This window comes from Homo sapiens, chromosome 17, assembly GCF_000001405.40.
Source record: "Homo sapiens chromosome 17, GRCh38.p14 Primary Assembly".
Classification (NCBI taxonomy): domain Eukaryota; kingdom Metazoa; phylum Chordata; class Mammalia; order Primates; family Hominidae; genus Homo; species Homo sapiens.
Genome location: NC_000017.11, coordinates 30,898,830 through 30,925,040, shown reverse-complemented (window position 1 = coordinate 30,925,040; position 26,211 = coordinate 30,898,830). Strand labels below are relative to the sequence as shown.

The following is a 26,211-nucleotide window of genomic DNA, read 5'->3' as shown; positions in this document are numbered from 1 at the left end:
ATTAGCCGAGCATGGTGGTGCATGCCTGTAATCCTAGTTACTCAGAAGGCTGAGGCACAAGAATCGCTTGAACCCCAGAGGCAGAGGTTGCAGTGAGCCAAGATCGCATCATTGCACTCCAGCCTGGGCAACAAGAGTGAAACTCCGTCTCAAAAAAAAAAAAAACAAAAAAAACAAAAAAGAAAATATAACATGGGAGTTATAAGGTGCAAATAAAATCCTTCAGGTTTATGTGCTGGTTTACTGGTTTCCAGCCTTTCTCCCACACTAGAATGTAAGCTCTGTATGGCCAGGGACCTTATCTTGTTCATTGTTCTCTCCCAAGACCCAGCACTTAGTAAGGTCACACTAAAGCCTCCAGTCCGGTGCTGTCTAGCACAGTACCTGGCACAGAGTAGGCATTCAGTAAATGTCAGCCTGCTTCCCCAATAGTCCTGGAAACCCTCAGCCAACCCGCACAGTGCAGAACTGCCTGCTCTCTGGAGGTTTTCTGACCAAAATGGAATTACCATGCAGGCTGAGGGTATCCTCCACCCCCAGAGGGCAGGAGAGCAAAGTGGTCCTCTTTCTGCCTAGGGGGAAAGGAGGACTTTAGACCACAAATCAGGTTATTTCCCTTCCCCCAGTCCAAGACTTCACTAATGATAACAGCAACTTTTTTTTTTTTTTTGAGGTAGGGTCTCACTCTCACCCTGGCTGGAGTGCAGTGGTGCGATCTCAGCTCATTGCAGCCACACTCTCACAGGCTCAGGTGATCTTCCCACCCCAGCCCCCGAAGTATCTGGGACGACAGGCGCATGCCATCACACCCAGCTAATTTTTGTATTTTTTGTAAAGACGGGGTTTCACCATGTTGCCCAGGCTGCTCTTGAACTTCTGGGCTCAAGCAATCCACCAGCCTCAGCCCCCCAAAGTGCTGGGATTATAGGTGTGAGCCACCACACCCGTACAACAGCAACTGTTAACTGACAGCTTTCTTTGTGTCTGGACTGAGCCTACAATCATCTTCACAACAGTGCTGTGACATTGGTGGTAGTGGCCAGGCACAGTGGCCCACGCCTGTAATCCCAGCACTTTGGGAGGCCGAGGAGGGTGGATTACCCAAGGTCAGGAGTTCGAGACCAGACTGACCAACATGGCAAAACCCCGTCTCTGCTAAAAATTAATACAAAAATTAGCGGGGCATGGTGGTGGGTGCCTGTAATCCCAGCTACTCAGGAGGCTGAGGCAGGAGAATTGCTTGAACCCAAGAGGCAGAGGTTGCAGTGAGCCGAGATTGGCCGTTGCACTCCAGCCTGGGCGACAAGAGTGAAACTCCGTCTCAAAAAAAAAAAAAAAAAAAAAAAAGGAAGAAAGAAAAAAAGAGAAATGGTGGTGGTATCCCTTGAATACAGATGTGGAAACTGAGGGTCCACAGCTAGGTCAAAGTACCTAGCTCAGGGCCTCCCAGCTTATAGGTAAGCAAATGATGGCCAGGAGCGGTTCAGGATGGTTCAGGCCTGTAATCCCAGCACTTTGGGAGGCTGAGGTGGTGGATCGCCTGAGGTCAGGAGTTCGAGACCAGCGTGACCAACATGGTGAAACCCCGTCTCTACTAAGTACAAAAAAATTAGCCGGGTGTGGTGGCAGGCGCCTGTAATCCCAGCTGCTTGAGAAGCTGAGGCAGGAGAATTACTTGAACCCGGGAGGCAGCGGTTGCAGTGAGCCAAGATTGCTCCACTGCACTCCAGCCTGGACAACACAGCGAGACTCCGTCTCAAAAAAAAAAAAAAAAAAGTAAGCAAATGATAGAGCCAGAATTTGAACTCTCGGCCTCTGTCTAAGCTGCCATCTTATAAGCTGTGTTTCCTCTAGCTAGACTTGCCCCTCTCTGGTTCTCAGTTTCCCCCTCTGTAGAATGGGAGCCCCCTGCCCGCTGCCTCTACTCCAGTCCCGCAGTTCCATGGCTCTCCACGGGCATGCCTTTCTACCTCCACAATACTGTCGTCCCAGAAGTCAAGTCGCACAGATTTAACTCTGCTGATGTCAGGGAAGTTACGGTGGACGCCGCAGCAGTTGAGACAGATGAAGATCCCCAGCTTGTAAGAGGCCCAGTCGGGATCTGCAGGGGATGAGGCAGGAGAGGAGCTGAGCGGAAAGCGCGGTGAAGAAACCAGGGCTGGGCTCGGGGCACTGGGGCAGGTGGGGCGCCCCTTCTCCCACCTAAGGCGAACTAAGCGGCCAGCCTGGCACCTTCTGGTTAGCCCACCGGCCGCTGCGCGGCGACCGGGGTGAAGATCCTGGAGGCAGTTCAGGGCCCGGGGAGAGAGTCTGAGGCTGCGCGACGTGGAAGTGAAGGGACTCAGAAGGAACCGAGAGGAGGGCGCGGGGGGCGCACCGCGGGGCTCGGCGCGGAGCTGCAGGTGGGGAGGCTGAGTTAGGGGGCCCTCGGCGTCCCCGAGGTGGGGCGCTGGGGAGGCCTTCGGGGGGCGTCTGGGAGCGGGCAGGGGGCACAGGACTGTCGGCGGCCTGGGCCCGACGTTTAGCCCTGGCTGGGATGTCTGAGTCCGAGGGCGTGGGGCGCGCCTGGGTGCGCAGACATCGAGAGCCCGGACTCGGGCGGTCGGGTGCCTGGCCAGGGAAGAGAGCGGGACTGGAAGGGCTCTAGGCTGCCGGCTCTCGTGTCCGGGTCCAAGCACGTGGGAAGATGCGCATCTGGTCCCGCGAGGGGAGCAGAGCCTGGGCTCGTAGGGGCCGGGGCAGGGTGTGGTGGAGACGGCCCTCGGGGCTCGGGTGAGAGGTTCACGGTGTGGGTGGGAGGGGTCGGGGCCCGCAGGTGCCACGTCTGGGTCCAGGGGGCCGAGGGCGGGACCCGGTGGGGCCGAGGGGAGGAGTCGGGTGGGCCTGGGGTCCGGCCGGGGGTCTCGCGCTGCCCGCGCCGCCGCGCCCTTACCTGCCGCCCCGCAGTCGGCGCAGTGCGCGTTGCCTGTGTCCGGCGCCCGCAGCAGCTCCAGCAGCCGCTTCTTGTTGCGCTCGCGATCGCCCATGGCCGGCCCGGCGGGCTCAGCGGGGCTCAGCCCATGGCCCGTGCGCTCCGCCCGGCAGGTGGAGAGGGACCCGGCCGCGGCGCCTCAGCCAGGCCTGGGCAGCCGCCAGCCCCGCCCCGCACCGTCAGGACTGTCCGCCCCTCCCTCGGCAGGTCCAGTCCGGCCCCGAGCTCCGCCGACGCGCGGGGAGGGACAGGAGCACGCAAATTGGAGTTTAACACACTGGCCTGAGATCAAATCGTGGCCTGTCACTTGGTAGCTACGAGACTGTGGACAACCTATTCAACCTCTGTGGGTCTCAGTTTCCGCGTCTATGAAAGAGGAACAAGGGCATATGTCTGCATCTCAGCGCTTCTTGGAAAATTAACCAGAATCTAACTTCTGTTAAAGCGTTCTGTTAATGTAAGATCTTACATCTATTTGGAGACGTATTTATATGCAAATGCCACCTCCTCAGGAAGCCCTCTGTGATACCCTGCCTGGAGTAATCTTTCCAGCCTCTGGGTCTCCAAGAATACTCTTGTAGTATCTGTCTATTTGTTTTGGACCTGAGCACTTTCTATCTACCTTGCATCACGGTTATTTATATACTTGTGTTAATTCCACTCTCTGACCGCAGACACATACACATGTCCACACCAGGGAGTTTGACGTCAGCAGTTTTATGTCTGTATTCCATATTGCTCCTATAAATGATACCTGCACATTTTTAGAAGTCCAACTAATAGTTGCATGATTTTGTTCACCAGAAAAGTGTGGTTTCACCAAGGTGGACACAGCCAGGCACTTTAACCTGTGAAGTTCCATCACCGCGAGGTGAAGGCAGGGTATAGGTGGTCTTAAATGTGGGCATTTCATTTCCTCTTTCCCTCTCTCCCATCTTTGTTACTGCTTGACATCATCTTCGTTACTCCTTGACATCATCTGCAATGACTCATGGGCCTCCTGGTGAAATATATACTGTACATACTTGCCATCTTCTATGTAGGTTAATACCTTAATGCACACAGATGCATTAAGCCATATGCATATGATAGACAGGTGTTAACCTTCAGGATAAAATCAGGTTTCCATCCTGGTGAATTGCAGCTGATGTTCTAGCTGACCTGCCCACACTCCCATTCAACATACATGCGGGCGCAAGCACACACGTGCACACACACGCACAGCAATATGGTGTAATGGAATGAATTCAGGAATCCAGAAATTCAGGCTTTAAATGTTGACTCCTTCATTTCCACATTTCCCAACTGTTTGTCTCTGGGCAAGTTCCTTCACTTCTCTGAGCCTCCAAACCCTCAACTGTTAAATGGAGAGCGTAAGATCCACTAATAGGGTCATTGAAATGGCACAAAGAAACCCTCCAAACATGGTGGCCTCCTTGCTTCCCCTGCCCCTATGGTCAGCTTGTGGAATTGTCGCTTGGAATGCTGTGTGTGATTCCCGTCATCCCTGGGGTGGAGGAGGTCAAGCTGCCAGGACTGAGCAGGAAGGGAGGGTGGAGAGTATTACCAAGAATAGCCAGCCATGAGGGGGTCTTGCCTGTGAGGGGGTGAGGCCTAGCCCAGGAGCAGCCACAGAGGAACCAGTGAGAGAGTCAGCTGGGGTCAGGGGGCATGGGGCTGTTTATTAAACCGGCTGAAAGATGATTCATTTCCGTTGCTTTAGATGAAAAAAGGGACAGAAATAAATCTCCCAGGAGAAAGATGGGAAAGTCAACTTAAGGTATGAAGGCAAAGGAAAGAGGGAGAGAGGGAGAAGAGGAGACAAGCTAAGGACATTTCTCCTCTGCCCAACACTGGGACAAAATTGTGATGCTGGGGGTGCTTCCTCGGCACCCGAGCCTTCACCAGTCTGTGCTCCTTTGCTTCTCTGACACCTTAGGTCTCACTGCCACCTCCCTGTAGGTCCCACAAAAGCCAACCCAGTTCTAAGTAGGCTCTGGTTGAATCTCAGAAACTTTAAAAAAAGCCGGGCGCAGTGGCTCACGCCTGTAATCCCAGCACTTTGGGAGGCCGAGGGGGGCGGATCACGAGGTCAGGAGATCGAGACCATCCTGGATAACACGGTGAAACCCCGTCTCTACTAAAAATACAAAAAAATGGCTGGGTGTGGTGGTGGGCGCCTGTAGTCCCAGTTACTTGGGAGGCTGAGGCAGGAGAATGGCATGAACCCAGGAGGCGGAGTTTGCAGTAAGCCGAGATCGCACCACTGCACTCCAGCCTGGGCGACAGAGTGAGACTCTGTCTCAAAAAAAAAAAAAAAAAATTAAAAAAAAAAAGAAAAAGAAAAAGAAAAAAAATAGCCAATCCAAGAGAACATACAGTATCTCATTCATAGTGAGGAGCCAGAGATTGAGAGATTCCTTTAGTTTCCCCTCTTCCCTTCCTTATTTCTGGAGGTTCCCATCAAACAGCCTTAATGTGGCATTTCAGGCATCCTCAGAGCAAAACAATGTACTCTGGTATTTTGTTTATAATGCTTTCTTTTCTTTTCCCTTCTTTTTTCTTTTCTTTGTTTCTTTCTTTTTTTTTTTTTTTTTTTTTTTTTGGTGGTGGTGGTTGTAGGACAATGCTAATGAACAATTACTGAGTGTTTTTTTTACAAGAGCGTCACACATTTGATCATATTTTAGCTTCATGACACCCTCAGAGGGCAGCATCACATCAGGCCACTTTACAGAAGAGAAAGCTGAGCCTCAGAGGATTTAAGTTACCCAAGGTCATGGAGCCAAATAAGAAGCGGAACAGGGCCTAAATCCAGATCTCCTACTGTGGCTCAGTCAGTCCCAGGTGATTTCATGAAACCTCCCTTTAGTGCATTCTGGACTTTTTTTTTTCTTTTTTTACTTAAATTGTGGTTCGGTTAATAAGGTTGCTCCAAAAAAAAAACAAAAAAAAAAAAAAAAAAGAAAAATATATATAAATTAAAAAATTGTGATAAAATCTAAACACAAAATTTGCCATTTTAACCATTTTTTTCTTTAGAGACAAGGGGGTCACTTTGTCACTCAGGCTTGAGTGCAGTGGTACAATCAGAGCTCACTGCAGCCTTGAATGCCTGGGCTCAAGTGATCCTCCTGCTTCAGCCTCCTGAGTAGCTGGGACTATGGGAACGTACTACCAAACCTGGCTAATTTTTTTATTTTTCTATTTTCACAGAGACAGAGGCTTGCTTTGTTGCCCAAGCTGGACTCCAACTTCTGGCTTCAAACAATCCTCCAGCCTCAGTCTCCCAAAGCTTTGTGATTACAGGCATGAGCCACCATGCCCCACCCATCTTAATCATTTCTAAGTGTACAATACTATGTCATCGATTGCATTCAATTATATTCACAATGTTGTGCAATTATCCCCACTATTTTAACAAATATTTAATTGACAAAGAAAGATTGTATATATTCAATGTGTACATGATTTGACATATGTGCACATTGTGTAATGATTCCCACAATCGCATTAATGAACACATCCATCCCCATCCATACTGCACCTTAGATCCCCAGAATTCTTCTTATAATTGAAAGTCTGTACCCTATATTTCCTCCACTATTTATTTCCAAAACTTTTGCATCAACCTAAACAGAAACTGTAGCCCCGGTCTGGGCAACACGGTGAAACCCTGTCTCTACAAAAATTACCAAAATTAGCTGGCTATGGTGGCACATGCCTGTAGTCCCAGCTACTCAGTAGGCTGAGGTGGAACGATCGCTTGGGTCCAGCAGGCAGCGGTTGCAGTGAGCCACAATCACGCCACTGCCCTCCAGCCTGGGCAACAAAGCAAGACTCTGTCTCAAAAATAAAACAAAACTCTGTAGCCCACTCCTGGATACTGGACATTATGAAAATTGAGCTCAGCTTCTGTGCTCAGGACCCAGAAGCTACTTCTAAGTGAAGAGGACCATGCCAAAGGCTGTCATGACCAAGGTGGACACTGAGCACTGTGACCCAGAGTTTGAGGGACAGGATGGGTCAAAGCAGCCTCTCTAAAGGGCTCAGTCAATACAGCAGATGCTGGAGTGAGGGAGCAATTTGGGCTGTGGGACAGAATGTCCTTTGTAAATAAAGCTCCCAGGGTCCCACCAAGAAGAAACATCTAGCCCTGTTCTCAGGTCACTGTGTTTGTCCAGCCAAGCCAAGCTGCAGCAGGGCTGGAAGAAAGCCCTCAACCACATTCCCAGTAACAGCCTCAAGGTCCCCACTCAAGATCTTCAGGGCATAGAACACAATTCCTTTGAAAATTAAATAATTGGCTGGGCACAGTGGTTCACACCTGTAATCCCAGCACTTTGGGAAGCCGAGGCGGGCAGATCACCTGAGGTTAGGAGTTCAATACCAGCATGGCCAACATGGTGAAACCCCGTCTCTACTAAAAATACAAATATCAGCTAGGCGTGGTGGTGGGTGCCTGTAATCCCAGCTACTCGGGAGGCTGAGGCAGGAGAATTGCTTGAACCCAGGAGCTGGAGGTGGCAGTGAACCAAGATTGTGCCACTGCACTCCAGCCTAGGTGACAGGATGAGACTCCATCTCAAAAAACAAAAACAAACAAAAAAATTAAATAATTATGTTTATTAGCTTTAGAATTAAAAAAAGCTATATTACAGGAAATTTGAAAAATACAGTAACTAAAGAAAAAACCACCACCCACAATTATGGCCACCATTTATTCTGGGATTGCAGTGCACCAGACCCCTTACATGCATTATTCCATTTAATCTTAGCCATAACCCTGAGGTACAGACTATGTTTATGCCCATTTTACAGATGAGACTACTGTGGCTCAGAGAGAGGGTAAGTACATTTGTCCAAGGTTACACAACTGAGATGTTGTATACTGAATCATGCATACTGAAGCTGGGATTTGAATTCAAGTCTGCCTTGGACTCTTTTCACCAATATATTAGGTTGAACCACATGAAACTGACTTACAAAAATGGCAATAGCAATGCCATAAAGTTCAACCTAACATTATGCTTCTTTTTTTTTTTTTTGAGACAGCCTCTGTCCGTCTCGCAGGCTGGAGTGCAGTGGTACGATCTTGGTTCACCGCAGCCTCTGCCTCCTAGGTTCAAGCAATTCTTGTTCCTCAGCCTCCCAAGTAGCTGGGATTATAGGCATGTGCCACCACGCCCAGCTAATTTTTGTATTTTTAGTAGAGATGAGGTTTTACCATGTTGGTCAGGCTGGTCTCGAATTCCTGGCCTCAAGTGGTCTGCCTGCCTCAGCCTCCCAAAGTGCTGGGATTACAGGCATAAGTTTGAGGCAGGCAGATCACCTGAGGCCAGGAGTTTGAGATCAGCCTGGCCAACATGGCGAACCCTGGTCTCCACTAAAAAAAAAAAAAATACAAAGAAAATTAGCTGGGCATGGTGGCGTGTGCCTGTAATCCCAGCTACTCGGGAGGCTGAGGCAGGAGAATCGCTTGAACCCAGGAGACAGAGGTTGCAGTGAGCCGAGATCACACCACTGCACTCCAGCCTGGGCAACAGAGTGAGACTTTGTCTCAAAAAACAAAACAGACTAAAACAAAAAACTGTATTTTCAAGCATTATATTCTACTACTCTACTGTAATTGCTTGCTGGTTTACTGGTCTGTCACACTTCTATGCTTCATGAGGACAGGGTCAGTTGTGTTCTCTGTTGTATCCCTAGCACCTGCATGCCACATAGCAGGGTTTCAACAAATGTTTGCTAAATAAACAAAGAAATGAGGATCGGTAAAAAATAATAATCAATAAAGTGAGAGGACTTGGGATCACAAAGTGTTTTCCTTTTTGAAGGAAACAAATAATTCCTTTTGAAGGCAAGTGAAACAGCTGATAAGGAGCCATGCAGAGTAAATAATGTGATTGAGTTGACCAACATATTTGTGTGTTTAATATCACCTTGTCTTCAGCAACTGGAACCACTCAGATCTCAAAGGGACTCCCCACTGCAGTACTGCCTCAGGGTTTGCTCATTCGTTCATTATTTATGGGGCACCTACTATGTGCCAGATACTGTTATGGGTACTGAGATATGGCCACATAGCTGGGGAAATAGCTGCCTTTGTGGAGCTTACCTTCAAGTTAGGGAGACAGGAAATGAACAGAGAAACAAATATACAATATAGTGCAAGAGTGATACGTGCTATAAAGAAAAAGAAACAAGTGAGGGGATAGAGAGGAATGAAAGTTGCTATTTCAATAGAGAGGTCAAGGAAGTCCTCTCTGAGCAGGTAACATTTAAGCTCAGATCTAACATTTAAGATCTGCAGGAAGGGGTCAAGCCAACCAGCAGCAATTTGAGAGAGGAGTGTCCTAGGGGAAGAGAACAACCTGGGCAAAGGCCCTGGGATGTGCTTGGTGTGTGATCTGTCCACATCCTTTGAACACAGAGCTATCCAACTCCATGCCATTGTATCTCGCTCATGCTGCCCCTTCTCCTACCCCAGCTCTCTCCTCTACAACATCATCCAGCCCAGCCTCCATTGGTTGGTGGAGCAAACTCCTGCCTCCATGCCTAAATTCAAGTCTTACTTTTGACCAGGTGCAGTGGCTCACGCCTGTAATCCCAACACTTTGGGAGGCCGAAGTGGGCTGATCACCTGAGGTCAGAAATTCGAGACCAGCCTGGCCAACATTGCAAGACCCTGTCTCTACCAAGAATAGAAAAATTAGCTGGGCATGGTGGCATGTGTCTGTAGTCCCAGCTACTTGGGAGGTTGAGGCATGAGAATCGCTTGAACATGGGAGGTGGATGTTGCAGTGGGCTGAGATTACTTCACTGCACTCCAGTCCGGGAGACAAAGCGAGACTCCTCAAAGAAATCTGACTTCTTCCAGCTCACCCTCATCCCCCTGAACTATGTTCCCAAAATGTTCATATTTCCATTACAATAGTCATCACGTTGGACTATGGTTGTTTTTTTTTAACTTGTTTTGTCCCAGTCAGCGTGATTTGGTTAAGAGCAGATTGTCATATTGATCTTTGTATCCTTGGTGCCTAGCAAATGCTGGGCCTGAAAAATTTTGGTTGATCCAGTTTTATGAAATGTCCAGAACAGACAAATCCATAGAGACAGAAAGCAGATTAGCGGTTGCCAGGAGCTGGAGGGAGTGGGCTTGGGGGCAGAGGGACTGGGAAGAGACAGCTTAATGGGTAAGGTTTCCTTTTAGGGTGTTAAAAATGTTCTGGAACCAGGGCTGGGCGTGGTGGCTCACGCCTGTAATCCCAACACTTTGGGAGGCCGAGGCAGGCAGATTGCTTGAGCTCAGGAGTTTGAGACCAGCCTGGCCAATGTGGTGAAACCCCGTCTCTACTAAAAACACAAAAATTAGCAAGGCATGGTAGCGCACGCCTGTAATCCCAGCTACTCGGGTGGCTGAAGCAGGAGAATCGCTTGTACCCAGGAGGTGGAGGCTAGGAGCCGAGATCGTGCCACTGTACTCCAGCTTGGGCGACTGAGTGAGACCCTGTCTCAAAAAAAAAAAAAAAAAAAGTCTGGAACTAGATAATGGTGATAGGTGCACAACATTGTGAATGTACTAAATGTCACTGAATTGAACCCTAAAATTATGAATTTTTTGTTATGTGGATTTTGCAACAATGTTTTAAAATGGTGGTGAACTGAGTGGAATTGAGACCCCCATTACACAGGTAGTCCAGGAGTTTGTAGGAGTTTGCATTCTGAATAAAATGCAATGATCCAATAGAGATCCAGAGAGATGAAGTATCCATTTGTGAAAACTGAAGAGCCAGAAAAGAGGTCCTAAATAGACCCAAGATAATTGTTTGCATTTTACATCATTACCTGCAACACTAAATGAGAAGTTAGTTATAGAGGTTTAGGCACAACTATAATTGAAGGGGTTAGAGTGACACCTGTTGTAAACTGGATTGGAACACTGGGGTGCTCCTTTATGGAACTTGAGTTTTAAAACTGGGTTTAAAAATCCAAAAGTTTGGCTGGGCATGGTGGCTCATACCTGTAATCTCAGCACTTTGGGAGACCAGGGAGGGAGGACCTCTTGATCCCAGGAGTTCCAGACCAGCCTGGTCAACATGGCAAAACTCTGTTTCTATTAAAAATAAATAAGTAAATAAAAATAAAAACCCAAAATCCAAAAGTTCTATTTTCTTTAGTTATACCTAAAATAAATCATATAAGGGATTGTCTTACCAAGCATCTGGGTATTTTCCTCTTAGACAATCACACCTTTTCTTTTTTTTTTTTTTTTTTTTTAGACAAAGTCTCGCTCTGGGGTCAAGGCTGGAGTGCAATGGCGTGATCTCAGCTCACTGCAACCACCGCCTCCCGGGTTCAAGCAATTCTCCTGCCTCAGCCTCCCAAGTAGCTGGAATTGCAGGAGTGCACCACCATGCCTGGCTTATTTTTGTATTTTTAGTAGAGACAGGGTTTCACCATGTTGGCCAGGCTGGTCTCGAACTCCTGACCTCAGGTGATGCGCACACCTCAGCCTCCCGAAGTACTGGGATTACGGGCATAAACCACCGCACCTGGCCAATCACACCTCATTTTAATATATAGAATCAATTTGCCAATTAACAATATCTCTTGGCCGGGCGCCGTGGCTCATGCTTGTAATCCCAGCACTTTGGGAGGCCGAGGCGGGCGGATCACAAGGTCAGGAGTTCAAGACCAGCCTGGCCAATATTGTAAAACCCCTTCTCTACTAAAAATACAAAAATTAGCCAGGGCACTGTGGCAGGTGCCTGTAGTCCCAGCTACTCGGGAGGCTGAGGCAGGAGAATCGTTTGAACCTGGGAGGCAGAGGTTGCAGTGAGCTGAGATGGCATCACTGCACTCCAGCCTGGGTGACAAGAGCGAGACTCTGTGTCAAAAAAAAAAAAACCTCTCATTGTATAAGACTTTCTATTTTACATCATTTTATTTCAGTAACAACCTTGTAAGAGGGGTACTTTGAATTTTGTCTTGCAAAAGAGAAAACTATTCTTATAGAAATAAACTGAGATACATAGGAAATATGTAGCAATATTGGAGCATGAGCCAAGTTTTCTGATTCTGGGTCTCAAATTGTGAGTGCTGTGTTTTATTTTGATCATTTGCCTAATCATTTTAGTTGTGTATAATACTGAAAAAATAATAATAAAATGTAACATAAAAGCAGGAAAAAAATCCAAAACTTTACCGAGACGAAGATTAGTAGGACAATTATCTTTCCTTTACAAAATATCCCTGAGAGTTGGGGGTGGAGCACTCAGAGAAATACATCACGTGCTCGCTACCCTGAATGATCTATTCAAGGATCAGCAGCCCTTTTCTCGGGAGTCTGTATATAAGGTGATGAATGACTTTGAGGACTAAATAAAGTAGACTATGTCACTAAATAAACATTCAAACCTTATATGATACAAATCTAATTCAAAATAATTTGAAGACTTCAACTTTTTTATTTTTTATTTTATTTTATTTTTATTTTTTTGAGATAGGGTCTTGCTCCGTTGCCCAGGCTGGAGTGCAGTGACGCAGTCTCAGCTCACTACAGCCTCCATCTCCCGGGCTCAAGCAATCCTCCCACCTCAGCCTCCTGAGTAGCTGGGACTACAGGCGAGCACCACCATGCCTGGCTAATTTTTGTATTTTTAGTAGAGACGGGGTTTCGCCATGTTGGCCAGGTTGGTCTCAAACCCTGGCCTCAAATGATCCGCCTGCCTCGGCCTCCCAAAGTGCTGGGATTACAGGCATTACCCTCTGCACCAAGCCCCAGACAACTTTTCTATTTTTTATGTTTGGAAACAGGGTCTCACTCTGTCGCCCAGGCTGGAGTGCAGTGGCATAGTCATGGCTCACTATAACCTCAAATCCTGGGCTTGGCCGGGCGCGGTGGCTCACGCCTGTAATCCCGGCACTTTGGGAGGCCGAGGCGCGCAGATCGCAAGGTCAGGAGATCGAGACCATCCTGGCTAATACGGTGAAACCCCGTCTCTACTAAATACAAAAAAAATTATCCGGGCGTGGTAGCTGGTGCCTGTAGTCCCAGCTACTCGGGAGGCTGAGGCAGGAGAATGGCGTGAACCCGGGAGGCGGAGCTTGCAGTGAGCCGAGTTCGCGCCACTGCACTCCAGCCTGGGCTACAAAGCGAGACTCCGTCTCAAAAAAAAAAAAAAAAAAAATCCTGGGCTTAAGTATCTTCTCACCTCAGCCTCCCTAGTAGGTAGGACTACAGGCATGTGCTACCACACCTGGCTTTCTTTTTTTTTTTTTTTTTTTTTTGAGACGGAGTCTCGCTCTTATCGCCCAGGCTGGAGTACAGTGGCACAATCTCGTTTCACTGAAAGCTCTGCCTCCCCGCTCCACGCCATTCTCCTGCCTCAGCCTCCTGAGTAGCTGGGACTACAGGCGCCTGCCACCACGCCTGGCTAATTTGTTGTATTTTTAATAGAGACGAGGTTTCACCGTGTTAGCCAGGATGGTCTCGATCTCCTGACCTCGCGATCCGCCCGCCTTGGCCTCCCAAAGTGCTGGGATTACAGGTGTGAGCCACCGTGCCCAGCCCACACCTGGCTATTTTTAGATTTTTCCATAGAGACGATGTCTCACAATGTTGCCCAGGCTGGTCTCAAACTCCTGGTCTCAAGCAATTTTCCCACCTCAGCCTCCCAAAGTGTAAGGATTACAGGCGTGAGCCAACATGCCCATCCAAGAATTAAACTTTTAAGTAATATTTTGCTGAAGTATAACAAATACAGAAAAGTGCACAAATCACAAGTATGCAGCTTAATGAATTTTACAAAGTGCACACACGTGTTTAACTAGCATATAGAGCTTTTTTAAAAAAGAGGATAATCAGCATCCCAAAACATTCCCATTCTCTCTTTAGTGACTAGTCCCAAAGGTAATCTCATGTTTATCATGATAGATTAGTTTAGTCTGTTTTTTTTCCCGGAGACAGTCTCACTTTTTTGCCTGGGCTGGAGTGCAGTGGCACGATCTCAATCTCGGCTCACTGCAACCTCCACCTCCTGGGTTCAAGCAATTCTTGTGCCTCAGCCTCCCGAGTAGCTGGGACTACAGGCTCCTGCCACCACACCTGGCTAATTTTTTGTATTTTTAGTAGAGTCCAGGTTTCACCATGTTGCCCAGGCTGATCTTGAACTCCTGAGCTCAGGCAATCTGCCTGCCTTGGCCTCCCAAAGTGCTAGGATTACAGGCGTGAGCCACCGCACCCGGCTTGTTTTTGTACTTTATATATAGCTGTGTGGCTTCTTTCATTCAACATCATATTTGTGGGATTTACCCATGTTACTGGGTGAAACGTTTATTCAATATATACACAATAATCTGCCATTGAGGTTTTGGCTAATACAAATAGTGCTGCTATGAGCATTCTTGTAATCAGGTTTAACCATGTGAAATTGCCATTTTTGCAAATAGACAACTGGCAAATACTGGCAATTTTATACATATAGCTCCATTAGTTGCATGTCCTTTAGTGCACATTTGTTTGCATTCTGTTGGATATACACCCGGGGTTGGACTGCAGGACCATAGGATATACAAATCTTCAGCTTTAGTAGATATTGCCAGCTTTTCAAAGTGATTCAACCAACCCACACTTCCATCAGCAATGTATGAGATTTCCAGTAGGTATTCTCATGGGTGTGTAGTGGTATTGCAATGTGGTGTTTTTTGTTTTTTGGTTTTCTTTGAGACGGAGTCTCTCTCTTATCGCCCAGGCTGGAATGCAGTGGTGCAATCTCGGCTCACTGCAACCTCTGCCTCCAGGTTCAGGCCATTCTCCTGCCTCAGCCTCCCAAGTAGCTGTGATTACAGGCGCCCACCACCACGCCCGGCTAATTTTTGTATTTTCAGTAGAGATGGGGTTTCACCATGTTGGCCAAGCTGGTCTCGAACTTCTGACCTCAGGTGATCTGCCTGCCTTGGCCTCCCAAAGTGCTGGGATTACAGGCGTGAGCCACAGTGCCCAGCCTCCTGTTTCCTTTTAAATGTGAACATTGTTTCTCAATCTTCTTGGGAATCGGAATCCTCTAACCACATCTAATGGTGGTGCTCCCAAGGAGTTCTCTCCTTATCTCACTGTGCTTTTCTCACGCCTACCCCCTCTCCCTGGCTCCTCGTATCTGTTCTCATGAGTAAAGTACCATCTCTACAGGCTGACGGCCTCCAAACATACACCCCAGCTCAGTGCTCCTCCTTAGCTTCAGATGTGCATCTCTATCTATTGGACATCACCCTCTAATGTCCTGCAGGCTTCAAAACAGATTTTAGTTTGTTTTTGTTTTTTTCAATAAACCTTTTGCACTCCTAACTTAAAAAAAAAAGAAGGAAATAGAAAATATCAGGTTGTATCACATGCAAAAATACAATGGTTGTTTTTGTTTTTCATTTAGTCAGGGTCTCACTCTGCCACCCAGGCTTGAGTACAGTGGTGCAATCTCTGCTCACTACGACCTCCACCTCCCAGGCTCAAGGGATTCTCCCACCTCAGCCTCCCAAGTAGCTGGAACTACAGGCGCATACCACTATGCCCAGCTAATTTTTTTTGGTATTTTTGGTAAAGATGGGGTCTTGCCATGTTGCCCAGGCTGGTCGTAAACTCCTGGGCTCAATGAATCTGCCTGCCTTGCTCTCCCAAAGTGCTGGTATTACAAGTGTTGAACCACCACACCTGGCCTTTTTTTTTTTTTAATGAAACTTTTGTATCACACATGTATCCTGGATCAGTCAAAAGTTTTAAAAACACAGAAACTAGATAACAGGCTAGACATAATGATGGAAGGAGTAGAAAGAGCCAGAGACACCTGCATCTGGGTGACAAAAACAGGGAAGTGAGAAGGAGCTAGTTTTTGGGGGAAGACGGTGACTTTCATTTTGGAGGCATCAATTCTGGTTTACAGTAAATCAGGCAATACTTATCTCTTTCCTTTGTATTTCTGGCTCTGGTCAAAGCATATTTCTGAATAAATGCTTTCAGGAAGGAGGGTGATTCCCCTATAGGTCATTCATAATCATTTCTCAGGAAGAGGGGGGATGCTTTACTGGGCAAAACCACATTGATTGAACTCTTATCTTATGCTGGGTTCTTTGCATCCAGTTTCTCATGCATCCTCCAAGCAGCCCTGTGAGGTAGGTACCATTAACTCCGTTTTACAAATGAGGAAGGTGAGGTTCAGAGAGGATAAGAAACTGACTATGGTGATGCAGTTACTAAGTGATAAACTGTGTCTTGCTAGCGAACCAGACCATCTCTGAAAGCAACACCAGGAATCCTTATGGCCTCTTGTATTAGTTTCTTAGGGCTGCTGTAACAAATGACCACAAACTGGTCATTTATTCTCTCCAGTTCAGGAGGCTGGAAGCCCAAAATCAAGGTGTTATCCGGGCTTGTTCCTTCAAAGGGCTCTAAGGGGACTCTGGCCCATGCCTCTCTCCTAGTTTCTAGTGACTATTGGCAACCCTTGGCCTTTCTGGGTTTGTAGAAAGCATCATTCCAATCTCCGCTTCCATCTTCACATGGCATTCACAGAGTCATCTTCTCATAAGAACAGCAGCCATGTTGGATTAGTCCCTGCCCCAGTCCAGCGTGTCCTCATTTTATTTTATTTATTTACTTATTTTTTTGAGACAGAGTCTCGCTCTGTCGCCCAGGCTGGAGTGCAGTGGTGCCATCTCAGCTCGCTGCAAGCTCTGCCTCCCGGGTTCACGCCATTCTCCTACCTCAGCCTCCTGAGTAGCTGGGACTACAGGCGCCCGCCACCACGCCCGGCTAATTTTTTGTATTTTTTAGTAGAGACGGGGTTTCACCGTGTTATCCAGGATGGTCTCGATCTCCTGACCTCGTAATCCCCCCTCCTCGGCCTCCCAAAGCGCTGGGATTACAGGCGTGAGCCACCGTGCCGGCCTTCCTGTCCTCATTTTAATTAGTTACATCTACAATGACCTTATTTGGAAATAATAAGGTACTGGGGGTTAGGACTTCAACAAATCTGTTTTGAGGGATGCAATTCAATCATAACATCTCAGTAAACTGAATAAGCCCTACAGTTGAGGAAATTATTTCCTCCTGATTTGGAGGATTTTGCAGAAAAAAGTTGATGTTATTTCTTGTTAGATTCCTAAGTTCCCCAGAAACTGCCAAGGTTTCTAGACTTCCTATGAGCAATTTTTTTTCTTTTTTTGAGACAAGGTCTGGCTCTGTCCCCCACGCTGGAGTGTGGTGACACGATCTCCACTCACTGCAACCTCTACCTCCCGGGCTCAGGTGATTCTCCCACCTCAGCCTCCTGAGTAGCTGGGATAACAGGCGTGCTCCACCACACCCGGCTAATTTTTTCGTAGAGACGGGGTTTCGCCATGTTGCCCAGGGTGGTCTGGAACTCAAGAGCTCAAGCGATCCGCCCGTCTCGGCCTCCCAAAGTGCTGGAATTACACTTTGGGAGCCACTGCTCCCGACCAGCACATTTTATTAATACTTATGATTCCCCTACATCCCCACTGCCTTCCAGACACAAACAATCAACCCATTGCTGCCTCATAAAAACGCAAACTCATCACCTTTCCCTCCCTCCTGAATTCCCCGTTTTTCACAAAACTGGCTCCCCATCTTCCAGAAATAATTCTTTTCTTTCCACTCTCCTTACATCTCCTAGGTTCAATTCCTTACGGTTGGCCAGGCGCAGTGGCCCACGCCTGTAATCCCAGCACTTTGGGAGGCCGAGTCGGGCGGATCACCTGAGGTCAGGAGTTCGAGACCAGCCTGGCCAACATGGTGACACCTGTCTCTACTAAAAATACAAAAATTAGCCGGGCGTAGTGGCGCTCGCCTGTAATCTCAGCTACTCGGGAGGCTGAGGCACGAGAATCACTTGAAATCGGGAGGCGGAGTTTGCAGTGAGTCCAGATCGCACCACTGCACTCCAACCTGGGCGACAGAGCAAGACTGTTAAAAAAAAAATTCCTTACGCTTGCCTCTCACCTGGGAAGATACACTCTCTTCGCGACTTCTCATTGCTCCCAGGCTCTTCACCTGCAATCCAGCCTCACATTCGCTATACAGTATATGGCCAATTTTCTAGGAACACTCTCCAGTCTGACTGCAAATCATAAACCTCGGGGACTTCAGGCTTCCTATCTGGTGGAGTATTCAACTGCTCCACCCATTATTCAAGGACCAACTAAATTCGGCGCTACATTCATCTCCCTTTATCCCTTCTAAGAGGAATACCGCTCCAGCGCCAACGCAATCTCCTCCTCCCTCGCCTTTACCTAATCCCTTGCCTGCCCTGTTTCCCCGCTGAGCTCCTCAAACACTTCGCATCTCTCCCCGTTATTCCAGTCTACCTGGTGAAAAGGTTATTTGAGGACCTTGTCTACGCTGCCCCTACCTGATCCCGCTCCCGGCGCCACAGGCTGGGCCCCAACAGGAGCTCCTCAATCTAAGTGTCTAGGAGAAACCCAGGGAGTCTCCACGAAGGAGGCACTTTACCCACTACAGACTAAAACTGGCCTCGGAATCGCCTTCCTGGAGATTCGGCCCAGCGGCTCTCAGGAGTCGGTAGGGGCAAGAACGTTTCCCCGGTGCAGTGGAAGAAGACTGCGGGCCAGCCAGGGACTCGGGATCCGGGGACAGGGCCTCGGCAGGCGCCCGCCTGGAAGCCCGCAGCCCAGACGCGGACGACCCACTGCTCAGCGGGACACACCTCGGGCCTTGCCCCGGAACGCCGCTTGGACAACAACCTTTCCGCCGAGTGCAGGCCGAGCGCTTTTGGGCGCAGCACGCAGGAACCGGAAGTCAATGGAGGAAGACTGGACCTACTGATTCAACTTGGAGATGAGCGGGTCTGTCCTCTTCACGGCGGGAGGTAGGGTGCTTGGAACACTGGGGTGATTTCCCGTCTGTCATTAGCCTCTGACCCTAGAGGCTAATGGAATACGGCGGGAGGTAGGGTGCTTGGAACACTGGGGTGATTTCCCGTCTGTCATTAGCCTCTGACCCTAGAGGCTAATGGAATACGGCTGGAGGTATTCTGGAGGAACCTGGAGTGTTTCCTTCCTCATGTCCCTCATGTCCTAGAGTGTTTCCTTCCTCATGTCCCTTGTTCAGGCCCCTCTCTTGGGGCCCCAGCCTAGCTGACGGGGCAGTTTTCGGAACATTTGTGCTTCCCCGGCCTCAGGGTCCACGGGTGGCTCCTCAGAGTGGGCGGATGGTTCACATTCTCACAGCCGCTTGCTTACCTCTGGCCACATTACTTTCCTGTGGCTGCGATGTTAGAGTGACTTCCCACTGGTTTTACAAAGTTATGCATTGTATGGTGTTTCTCATACTTGCAAAAACGTCATGTAGAAGTCTTGAAAAGTGTACGGAAGAAAGTAAAACTGCCCTTAAATCTATCACTTAGCTGAAACATTTCTTATAAACGTACAAAATTTAATTTTATTTAGTTCCACCAGATGAGATACTAAAATGTGAAAATGGAAGTGAAGACAAAACCCTTTTTTTTTTTTTTTTGAGACGGAGTTTCGCTCTTGTTGCCGAGACTGGAGTGCAATGGTGCGATCTCGGCTCACCGCAACCTCCGCCTTCCGGGCTCAAGCGATTCTCCTGCCTCAGCCTCCCGAGTAGCTGGGATTACAGGCATGTGCCACCACGCCCGGCTAATTTTGTATTATTAGTAGAGACAGGGTTTCTCCATGTTGGTCAGGCTGGTCTCGAACTCCCGACCTCAGGTGATCCGCCCACCTCGGCCTCCCAAAGTGCTGGGATTATAAGCGTGAGTCACCGCGCCCGGCCTAAGACAAACCTTAACAGGAAATATTAGTTACAAAAAGATTCCTCTAAATTAAAAATATCAGAAACTTTAAGCAGTTGGAATAATTATTTCAACTACTTGCTTCCTGATGGGTATAAAATACAATTTTCTAGGTAGTAAAACTTCGGACTGATCCATAAATATCGGGAGACATCTCTCGTGACTTGAAAACAACAAAAGCTCTATTTAAAACTCTATATAATATAGTTTAAAAACTAATCCTCTTTTAAAGATGATTCTCGGGCCGGGCACAGTGGCTCACGCCTGTAATCCCAGCACTTTGGGAGGCTGAGGTGGGCGGATCACGAGGTCAGGAGATGGAGACCATCCTGGCTAACACTGTGAAACCCCGTCTCTACTAAATATACAAAAAATTAGCCGGGCGTGGTGGCAGGCGCCTGTAGTCCCAGCCACCTGGGAGGCTGAGGCAGGAGAATGGCGTGAACCTGGGAGGCGGAGCTTGCAGTGAGCCGAGATCGGCCACTGCACTCCAGCCTGGGCAACAGAGCAAGACTCCGTCTCAAAAAAAAAAAAAAAAGATGATTCTCCAAGACAATTTAATATTGTCCTCTATTAGTTCTTAAATTCCAGGAAAGTATTTGTGACTTTGCAAAGGATCTAGTCAAGCTTGCAACTAACCCCAAAGGAAGTAGGACATCCAACTTATATTTTGCTAAATTTTCCTTTTAGAGAGGTGGAGATGCTTTCTGACCCCGTCGAGGTCATCCCTGTACTGGGCCTTACATAATTTCTGCTGTCGGAAAAAATCCACTACACCTAAGAAAATTACTCCCAATGTTACTTTTTGTGATGAAAATGCAAAGGAGCCCGAAAATGCACTTGACAAGCTCTTCTCTTCAGAACAGCAGGCTTCCATCTTGCATGTGTTGAATACAGCATCTACTAAAGAACTTGAAGCTTTCCGATTGCTTCGTGGAAGAAGGTCCATCAATATCGTAGAGCACAGAGAAAACTTTGGGCCATTTCAGAATTTAGAGAGTTTAATGAATGTGCCCTTGTTTAAGTATAAAAGTACAGTTCAAGTTTGTAACTCCATACTTTGTCCAAAGACTGGACGGGAAAAAAGAAAGTCACCGGAAAACCGGTTCCTGAGAAAGCTCCTCAAACCAGACATAGAAAGAGAAAGACTTAAGGTATATTCTTCATGTCTGCTATACTGCCTAATATTTGAGAACCTACTCTAGAAAGCACTCTTCTGGGCATTGGGTTGGGAAGTGGCTAAGACAGGGTTCTTCAGGTTTAGTTGGCAAGTATATGATCACTACCAAATAATGAGATGTACAGATAGTAAATTGGCAGTTGAGAGGAGAGAAAACAATGGGCTGTGACTGTTGTGGAAAGTTTACTGGAAGAACTCAATTTAGGTCTTAAAAGAGAGATCCTTTGGATGGGAGAGGAGGGCATTGTAGGTAGAAAGAACAGTTGATGCTGAGAAGCAGGTCTAGGCAAGGCTTATTTAAGAGGAGTGTCGTTGGAGATACCAGGCTGTGTCTAAGGGTGATGTTAGGATTAATGAGAAATTAAGGAGCAAAGATAGGTTATGGCCAGTGAGTGACTTTAGAACATTATACCAGTCTTTCCGGCAGAATTTAAAATTATTTTCTGTACCTTTTCTCCTTTAAAAAGCATTTTATCTTGAATCATGCAAGTCTATAGGTAAGATTAAAAAAAAAAAAAAAAAGCGGCTGGCTCACACCTGTAATCCCAGCACTTTGGGAGGCCAAAGCGGGCGGATCACAAGGTCAAGAGATCCAGACAATCCTGGCCAATGTGGTGAAAGCCCATCTCTACTAAAAATACAAAATTTAGCTGGGCATGGTGGCGTGGGCCTGTAGTCCCAGCTACTCGGGAGGCTGAGGCAGGAGAATCTCTTGAACCTGGGAGGCAGAGGTTGCAGTGAGCTGACATCACGCCAGTGCACTCCAGCCTGGCTACAGAGCAAGACTCTGTCTCAAAAAAAAAAAAAAAACACCATTCTAAAAGCAATTCTTTTTCTATTGTCTTAAAAAAATAAATACTAGAAATATTTGACACAGCCAATTTTTTTTTTTTTTTTTTTTTTGAGACAGAGTCTTGTGCTGTCGCCAGGCTGGAGTACAGTGGCATGATCTCACAACAACCTCCACCTCCCAGGTTCAAGCGATTCTCCTGCCTCAGCCTCCTGAGTAGCTGAAACTACAGGCACATGCCACCACGCCCAGCTAATTTTTGTATTTTTAGTAGAGATGAGGTTTTACCATGTTGGCGCCAGGATGGTCTTGATCTGTTGACCTCGTGATCCACCTGCCTCGGGCTCCCGAAGTGCTGAGATTACAGGTGTGAGACACTGCGCCCGGCCACAGCACTCAAGTATTAAACTTTAGAGGAACTCATGTCCTGTGTAACATTGCTTGATAATCATTATCTCATAAAAATCATAAGCACCATTTTTTTTCTGGACCAGTGGGTCCGTTTTTTGAGGAATATGGGTACTTTTGAAAACCTGATGAAAGCTGTGGACCCTCTTCCCATAGAAAAAGATATAGCACATATACACAGAATACTACACAGTTTCAGAGGACTGGCAGATTCTGTTAAGTCCACTCATGGACTCCAAGTAGAACTGCTGCAATTGATCTGGAACATATTTTAACCAAATTCTTCAGGGAGGATTCTCATCCAGATTCATGGCCAAAACTATTTATACCCAGATTAGAGTGGAGTTGCATCTTATTTAGGGGGCTGGATTTTAAGTCAGTTTTTATGGAGATATAAGTCATGCAGTAAAATCCTTTAAGAAAAAATCGATTGCCGACGAAGTATTGTGTGTAGTCTGGTTCAGTAATGCTTGTGCACAGTAAAGCTTGAGAGTCACTTAGCTAAAGAAAACCAAAAGGAAGTCTGTATTTTGGGCATCTATACTATTTTGTCTTTAAGATATTTATCCAGTCCTTAGCAATGAAAGGGAGATGGGTATACAACTAATTGTTCCTGTTTATTTGCCTCTGTATCTATAGAACATATTAGTTTGTTAATATAACTAAGTGAGCCATGTTGGGGAAAGGTGATAGCATTGTACTTCATCGTCAGCCCAGACTTGATAGGAAGCAAAATCTAAATATTCAATTACTTATTATATATCTCCTCTTAGAAGCCCTATAGGCAACCCAAACTTAATGCATTAAAAACAAACCAAAACAAAACAAAAAAATTTCTTCCCACCTTCCCTAGGTCATGTGACTCCTATCTTCGTCATCATTAATGATGCCATTCAGTCACTGATATAAAACTGGAATTATTCTAGACTCCTCGTTAAACCTATGTATTAATTCTGCTCCCACTATCTGTTTCTTTTCCTTCTGTCATTGTCTTCAATTCTTAACACTTTCTCATGTTGTAACAGGTACCTAACACAGATCCCTACCTTTAGTTCCCTCCAGCCCATCTTTTACACCATCAGTGATTTTTCTGAAATGTAAATCTTATGTTATTCCTTAAAATTCTGTTTTTTTAGTGGCCCCTGTAGCACTCAGGATAAAGCAAGTTACTTACCTTTATAGACATCTGCCTTGTCCTCTGCCCTTTTCCTATTCAGTCTTTATTCTACTGCCAGAGTGTGAGATGTCAAACAGCCTATCTTTCCAGACATCTGGGTGAAATAACTTCCCATTTACTGTCTCATTCTCCTAGTCCTCCAGTAAACCTTCCCTGACCACTTCTCTCTACAATAGTTTTATGGTGGCATTTCTTATAATGTACAGTTACGTTTGTTGTTTCCTAGTATCTAGTGCAGACCTTGGCTACACTTGAGTTTGAATGCCTACTTTGGGCAAGGTGCTGAGAATGAGTATAGGTCCTTTATCTATAAACTGACTGCTGCTGGTTACCTTTTAATAATAATTACTCCTTGGTGGCTCACACCTGTAATCCCAGCACTTTGGGAGGCAGAGGCAGGTGGATCACTTGAGGTCAGGAGCTCAAGACCAGCCTGGCCAACATGGTGAAACCCTGTCTCTACTAAACATACAAAAATTAGCTGGGTGTGGTGGCAGGTACCTGTAATCCCAGCTACTCAGGAAGCTGAGGCAGAAGGATTGCTTGAATCTGGGAGGTGGATGTTGCAGTGAGCTGATTGCGCCACTGCACTCTAGCCTGGGTGACAGAACGAGACTCCATCTCAAACAAAATAATAATTACTCCTGCATTTCTTTAATAATTCTCAGTTCATAAACTATAAATAAGTTTATATTACATAAACTAGTTAGGCATTCTGAATTTGTAGATTATGTTTGCATCTAAAATATTTACACTTCTGGCCAGGCACGGTGGCTCATGCCTGTAATCCTAGCTCTTTGGGAGGTCAAGGCAGGTGGATCATGAGATCAGGAGATCGAGACTATCCTGGCTAACACAGTAAAACCCCATCTCTACTAAAAAAAAAAATAAAAAAATTAGCCGGGCGTGGTGGCGGGCGCCTGTAGTCCCAGCTAGTCGGGAGGCTGAGGCAGGAGAATGGCATGAACCCAGAAGGTGGAGCTTGTAGTGAGTTGAGATCGCGCCACTGCACTCCAGCCTGGGAGACAGAGCGAGACTCCGTCTCAAAAAAAGAAAAAACTAAAATGTTTATACTTCTAATTAAATCAGTCTTTTCTTTTAGGCAGTTAATAGTATCATATCTATCGTTTTTGGTACTCGAAGAATTGCCTGGGCTCACCTTGATCGTAAGTTGACAGTGCTGGACTGGCAGCAAAGTGACCGTTGGAGTTTAATGAGAGGAATATACTCATCATCAGTCTATTTAGAAGAGGTAAGGCAGTTGCACCTCCAGATTCCTACCTGCTAGAGCTCCTTGTGTAGTTTAATCTTCTGGTCCCAAAAGGAATGTAATAAAATAGTAAAGATGGGTTTTCTTCTGGTACTTGTTACTCACTTATTCCTATTATGTTTTCCATCACCTTTGATTTTTAAAAATTCAACCTTTAGTTAGTTCAAGAAATGCCTTATGCATCGAAGGCAGATACTGAGAAAATCAATGGTATTTCATTCTAAATGTTATAGAACATTATCACTCTTTTATTTATAAAGCTTATTTTTCAAAATGCCATCACATTGTCTCATTTGAGTTTTCAAAACCTTGCGAAATGGTCAGGAATTATCACCTTAATGGTCAGGAATTACCACCTTGATTATACATATGAAATCTGTGGTTCAGTCAAGCATCTGATGTGATTAGTCAGTTGCAGAGGTGATTGATTCTTGCTAGTTATTCTAACCGTATGCTCTATCCCAGAAAATGTTTGAAGGTTTAGTAAAACAGTTTTAAGTTGTCTAACCTTAAAGCCAATACATATTTTAGAAATTATGAAGTCCACTGTACAGATCAAGAAACTGGTACTTAGGAGGACTAAACAGCTTAGCTTAGCTGTTGTTGTGACATAACCATGACCAGAACCAGACTGCTCATAAAATGGCTTTTTCAGTTATTTCAAAATTGTCAATATAGTATAAATTAACTAATTATAATATTTTTAAATAGAAGTGGGACAGAGAGGGGACCAAACATAAAATGTAATGAATTATTTCTGTTCCTTTATTTTGTCTTTTTTTAAAAAGATTTCCTCGATCATTTCAAAGATGCCTAAAGCAGATTTCTATGTTCTGGAAAAAACAGGACTTTCCATTCAGAACTCATCTCTGTTTCCAATACTGTTACATTTTCATATCATGGAAGCCATGCTGTATGCCTTATTAAATAAAACTTTTGCCCAGGATGGGCAGCATCAGGTGCTGAGCATGAATCGAAATGCAGTGGGGAAGCATTTTGAACTGATGATTGGTGACTCCCGGACTAGTGGAAAAGAGCTAGTGAAGCAGTTTCTCTTCGATTCTATACTGAAGGCGGATCCTCGGGTGTTCTTCCCATCAGATAAAATAGTTCACTACAGACAGATGTTTTTATCTACTGAACTACAAAGAGTAGAAGAGCTTTATGATTCATTATTACAAGCTATTGCCTTCTATGAATTAGCAGTGTTTGACTCTCAGCCTTAGAATTCTGAGGTTAACGTGCTAAAGTATAATTATTAGCTCTAACGTAACACCAACTGTTGTGAACATCCATGTTATTGGAAAAGAACACATTTTCAGTGTATTTTAGATGTTTAAATTCTGACTTTTGGCTATTAAATGGTTTACACAATAAGCCAAGACCAAATCAATAAACATTTTATGAGATTCTGTGCCTCTCAGGTTAATGTGTTAAACAGTAACATGGGGCTTGGTGCAGTGGCTTATGCCGATAATCCCAGCACTGTGGGAGGCTGAGGCAGGAGGACTGCTTGTGCCCAGGAGCTCAAGAGCAGCCTGGGCAACATAGCAAGACCACATAAT

At 46.2% G+C, this 26,211-nt stretch overlaps 2 protein-coding genes across 11 annotated transcripts in view, besides 7 other annotated features; one reads left to right on the top strand and one right to left on the bottom strand.

Annotated features, from left to right (window-relative positions):
• The window catches only part of ADAP2 (ArfGAP with dual PH domains 2), a 37,378-nt gene extending 34,282 nt beyond the window's left edge, over nt 1-3,096 (bottom strand). For all 9 annotated transcript variants that reach the window (NR_144488.2, NM_001346712.2, XM_024450834.2 and 6 more), the window contains exons 1-2: nt 2,933-3,096; nt 1,971-2,101 (exon numbers count right to left, since the gene is read on the bottom strand). Coding sequence is in view for 7 of the 9 variants with exons in the window: in NM_001346712.2 (NP_001333641.1) it covers nt 1,971-2,101; nt 2,933-3,026 (225 nt within the window). In the remaining 2 variants the exon portion in view is untranslated. The remainder of the gene's footprint in view (nt 1-1,970; nt 2,102-2,932) is intronic.
• Nucleotides 2,406-2,565: a silencer, noted in NCBI's record as "silent region_8404". NCBI's record gives its function as "represses an Ori minimal core promoter by ATAC-STARR-seq in GM12878 lymphoblastoid cells {active_cell/tissue: GM12878}" and the evidence as "EXISTENCE:reporter gene assay evidence [ECO:0000049][PMID:35858748]".
• Nucleotides 2,726-2,775: a silencer, noted in NCBI's record as "silent region_8403". NCBI's record gives its function as "represses an Ori minimal core promoter by ATAC-STARR-seq in GM12878 lymphoblastoid cells {active_cell/tissue: GM12878}" and the evidence as "EXISTENCE:reporter gene assay evidence [ECO:0000049][PMID:35858748]".
• Nucleotides 2,916-3,355: a silencer, noted in NCBI's record as "silent region_8402". NCBI's record gives its function as "represses an Ori minimal core promoter by ATAC-STARR-seq in GM12878 lymphoblastoid cells {active_cell/tissue: GM12878}" and the evidence as "EXISTENCE:reporter gene assay evidence [ECO:0000049][PMID:35858748]".
• Nucleotides 12,375-12,874: an enhancer, noted in NCBI's record as "H3K4me1 hESC enhancer chr17:29239185-29239684 (GRCh37/hg19 assembly coordinates)". NCBI's record gives its function as "activates a minimal SCP1, AML or CMV promoter by ChIP-STARR-seq in naive H9 embryonic stem cells {active_cell/tissue: H9 hESC(naive)}" and the evidence as "EXISTENCE:reporter gene assay evidence [ECO:0000049][PMID:30033119]".
• Nucleotides 17,265-18,065: an enhancer, noted in NCBI's record as "H3K27ac-H3K4me1 hESC enhancer chr17:29233994-29234794 (GRCh37/hg19 assembly coordinates)". NCBI's record gives its function as "activates a minimal SCP1, AML or CMV promoter by ChIP-STARR-seq in primed H9 embryonic stem cells {active_cell/tissue: H9 hESC(primed)}" and the evidence as "EXISTENCE:reporter gene assay evidence [ECO:0000049][PMID:30033119]".
• Nucleotides 18,044-18,313: an enhancer, noted in NCBI's record as "active region_12002". NCBI's record gives its function as "activates an Ori minimal core promoter by ATAC-STARR-seq in GM12878 lymphoblastoid cells {active_cell/tissue: GM12878}" and the evidence as "EXISTENCE:reporter gene assay evidence [ECO:0000049][PMID:35858748]".
• Nucleotides 18,803-26,055, top strand: TEFM (transcription elongation factor, mitochondrial). 2 transcript variants are annotated; one of them, XM_006722084.3, is made up of 4 exons: nt 18,803-18,850; nt 20,512-20,975; nt 24,479-24,628; nt 25,435-26,055. In XM_006722084.3, the coding sequence occupies exons 2-4, from the start codon at nt 20,826-20,828 to the stop codon at nt 25,870-25,872; spliced, it is 738 nt and encodes a 245-aa protein (XP_006722147.1). In that variant the 5' UTR covers nt 18,803-18,850; nt 20,512-20,825; the 3' UTR covers nt 25,873-26,055. The 2 variants fall into 2 exon arrangements, with proteins under 2 accessions (XP_006722147.1, NP_078959.3); NM_024683.4 differs by having other exon boundaries at nt 18,803-18,873.
• Nucleotides 22,803-23,003: a silencer, noted in NCBI's record as "peak2795 fragment used in MPRA reporter construct". NCBI's record gives its function as "represses an SCP1 promoter by STARR-seq MPRAs in K562 erythroleukemia cells {active_cell/tissue: K562}" and the evidence as "EXISTENCE:reporter gene assay evidence [ECO:0000049][PMID:32103011]".
• Nucleotides 26,056-26,211: the final 156 nt, after the last annotated feature.

Coding starts and splice junctions, on each gene's coding strand:
- TEFM (NM_024683.4), top strand. CDS start 18,843: ATGAGCGGGTCTGTCCTCTTCACGGCGGGAG. Junction 18,874..20,511: donor TGTCCTCTTCACGGCGGGAG/GTAGGGTGCTTG, acceptor TTTTCCTTTTAG/AGAGGTGGAGATGCTTTCTG. Junction 20,976..24,478: donor TAGAAAGAGAAAGACTTAAG/GTATATTCTTCA, acceptor CTTTTCTTTTAG/GCAGTTAATAGTATCATATC.